We start from the raw sequence: 2,743 nt of genomic DNA, 5'->3' as shown, positions 1-2,743 counted from the left end.
AAATGAAATTAAATGGTAAAAACTGAACTTAAAGTCATTGTTAAGTGTTTTCAAAAAAGTTATTTTTAATTATTCGGAAGTATTTGTTAAAATTAAAAGTCAAAATAGTAATTATAATTATACATTTTAACTCAAGATTATTTTTAAAAACTAAAATCTTATGTTCTTTTTTAATTAAATTATCTTGACTGCATTTATAAAAATAATAGTATTTGTAATGTCAGGCTTCAGCATCCACTTAGTTGCCAGTATAAACCATTGGTGACACAGTTCATGCATGAGGTCTAGAGTAGACTGGTGTACATACATGTTTAGCAGCAATATGGATAATTTAATGTAGCAAAATATTCCTCAGCTTCCATAGGCATTTGCTGTCAATACCATGATAACTTGCAAATATTTCTAAAACTATAAATTGGAAAACCAAGAGTATAAAGAAAATGGATATTCAACATAAGTGGAAATGATGCTTTTTTATGCAGGAATATATTGCATTTTTACAATCTGAAGAATTTGTACAAGTTAATTTGCCTATCTCTGACCTAAGCTCTTCTAGCTCTCAAGACCTTCCCACATTCCATAGCAGCATCTGGCTCCTATGTCAGAAGCACTACAAACCACAATTTTTTCTAATTTATTTTTTATTTCAATAGGTTTTTGGGGAACAGGTGGTGTTTGGTTACATGAGTAAGTTCTTTAGTGGTAATTTCTGAGATCTGTGTGTACCCAAGCAGTGTACACTGTACCCAATGTGTAGTCTTTTATTCCTCACCCCTCTCCTACCCTTTCCCCTGAGTCCCCAAAGTCCATTGTGTCATTCTTATGCCTTTGTGTCCTCATAGCTTAGGTCCCACTTATGAGTGAGAACGTACGACGTTTGATGTTCCATTTCTGAGTTACATCACTTAGAATAACAGTCTCCAATTCCATCCAGGCTGCTCAACCCAAACATCTTTACGATATTTGGTAGAAATCATCTTTTGTTTGAGTACATCTTTTGTTTCTGCACATTGGAGATGTGCAGAAACATTTTCTGAGCCTGAATAGGGTCAGTCCCAGGAGGGGATGATTAAACTTATGGATCACGCTGCAACAGTGTGGAAGGCTAAATCCCAATTGACAGAAGGGCCACGTGTTTTTTAGTAAGTTTATTTTTTCAGTATTTTGATATGCGAGGCCACTAAAGTAAGGTTCTCGGGCCCTTGTTGTCCAAATCCAGGAATACTACTGGTTTCTTTTAATGATCTTGGTCACCAAAATGATTACTCAAATCTTGCATCATGTATCATATATTTTTAAAAACAAATCTTATTGTCTTAACAGGAAGGATTACATCAGAGTCACAACAGCTTAATAGACAAAATTAATTTGGAGTTAAATAGTCTTATGGTGCTAGTAATGGCAGAATAAATATAATGACATATATTTTTCCTTCTCCAGTCCCACCATTTCAGAAAGGTGTAAGAATCAAAGGTAATGAGGTAGTTTGTTAATGACAAGTGCTGGCACTCATGCCCAAAGTCACATAGCTATTTGTAGACACTATTTCCTCTGTTTGCTGGAAAATTTGATAGAATCCTAATTCAGTGTATGGTAACACTAGATAGTTGGGTGTCTCCAGGATTTGCCCTGTTTCCTGGGACATTCTGGGACAAAGGTACATCTGTCAAGAAGCAAAATTGCCCAAACTAACAGCTTGCCAAATGGCATACCTTTTCTTCTTTCCCACGAATCCCCTAAACCAGCCCCACCACTTTGAGGATCACCTTGTCATCTGAGATTACAGGCAGGATGTTGTGACTGGCAGGATTTGAATTACAATATCATTGAATTGAATTTCACGCAGTCAGGCAGTCCCTAAGGAGAGACAAGACTTTCAGCAACACAGGAAAATGAGATCCCAGAATCTCTGTTTCCTTTTCATGTAAGACATCGATGCCCTGTCCAGAATCATGTCCTGGCCCTTGTCTCCATAATCCAAGCCCTAAGACTTCCCCAAAGGCAGCTCCACATGAGTTTCAGCTGCAGTCTTCATATCTTCAGCGACGGGATCTCTATTTTTCTGAATAAATTTAGCATACAAGACACTTCAGTTTATGATTTTGCATGTCGTGAGTCAAAGGTCTCCAGGACCAATCTGCTATGATAGAAATACCTCCTCTTTAAGAATGCTATCTCAGGCCTCTCCTCCAAAATAATGTCATACCAATGAAAATTATGCACTGTTTAACTTAGCATCCCAAATCCATAAAGGCAATGTCTCTTAGTCGCTTATGCTTCCTACAGAGACTCAACTCTGCAAGTTGTGCCAGCTGCGATGAGTTTTACTAGGCAAGTATCATTTATTTTCAGGGCTAAGTTTTCCAGAGGGCTCAGCTGCTAGAGCTCTGAAGGCCAGCTAAGCCAGAATTTTCAGTCTGCAGGCTCAGGACCTACCTTCTGAAGTAACACAAGAAACCTGAACCCAATAAAAAACCACTAGGTACCCTCAACACACTCTCAGGGAAAGAGAGGTCTGAAAAGTCTTGGCCAATGTGGAGAACCGAAAACTGAGACCTTGAAGCATTGAGACTCATTGGCCTTCCTCTTTGTCTAAATGAATGAGATCCATTCAGACCAGGTAGAATGAAGTGATTGTTGCTTCTCTGGAGTCAGTAAGCAAAGGAACCTAGGATACTGGAGATTGTGAAGAAGACAGTGAGGCAGCTTTGGGCAAGGTGGGGAGCTCCATTTTGCTTAGAAG

General features: G+C 38.5%; 1 annotated feature.

The window, feature by feature from the left end:
• Positions 1,712 to 2,213: an enhancer, noted in NCBI's record as "NANOG-H3K4me1 hESC enhancer chr3:67177475-67177976 (GRCh37/hg19 assembly coordinates)". NCBI's record gives its function as "activates a minimal SCP1, AML or CMV promoter by ChIP-STARR-seq in primed H9 embryonic stem cells {active_cell/tissue: H9 hESC(primed)}" and the evidence as "EXISTENCE:reporter gene assay evidence [ECO:0000049][PMID:30033119]".

This window comes from Homo sapiens, chromosome 3, assembly GCF_000001405.40.
Source record: "Homo sapiens chromosome 3, GRCh38.p14 Primary Assembly".
Lineage (NCBI taxonomy): Eukaryota > Metazoa > Chordata > Mammalia > Primates > Hominidae > Homo > Homo sapiens.
The sequence above is the reverse complement of the archived record's forward strand: the minus strand, read 5'-3'. Positions and strand labels throughout refer to the sequence as shown.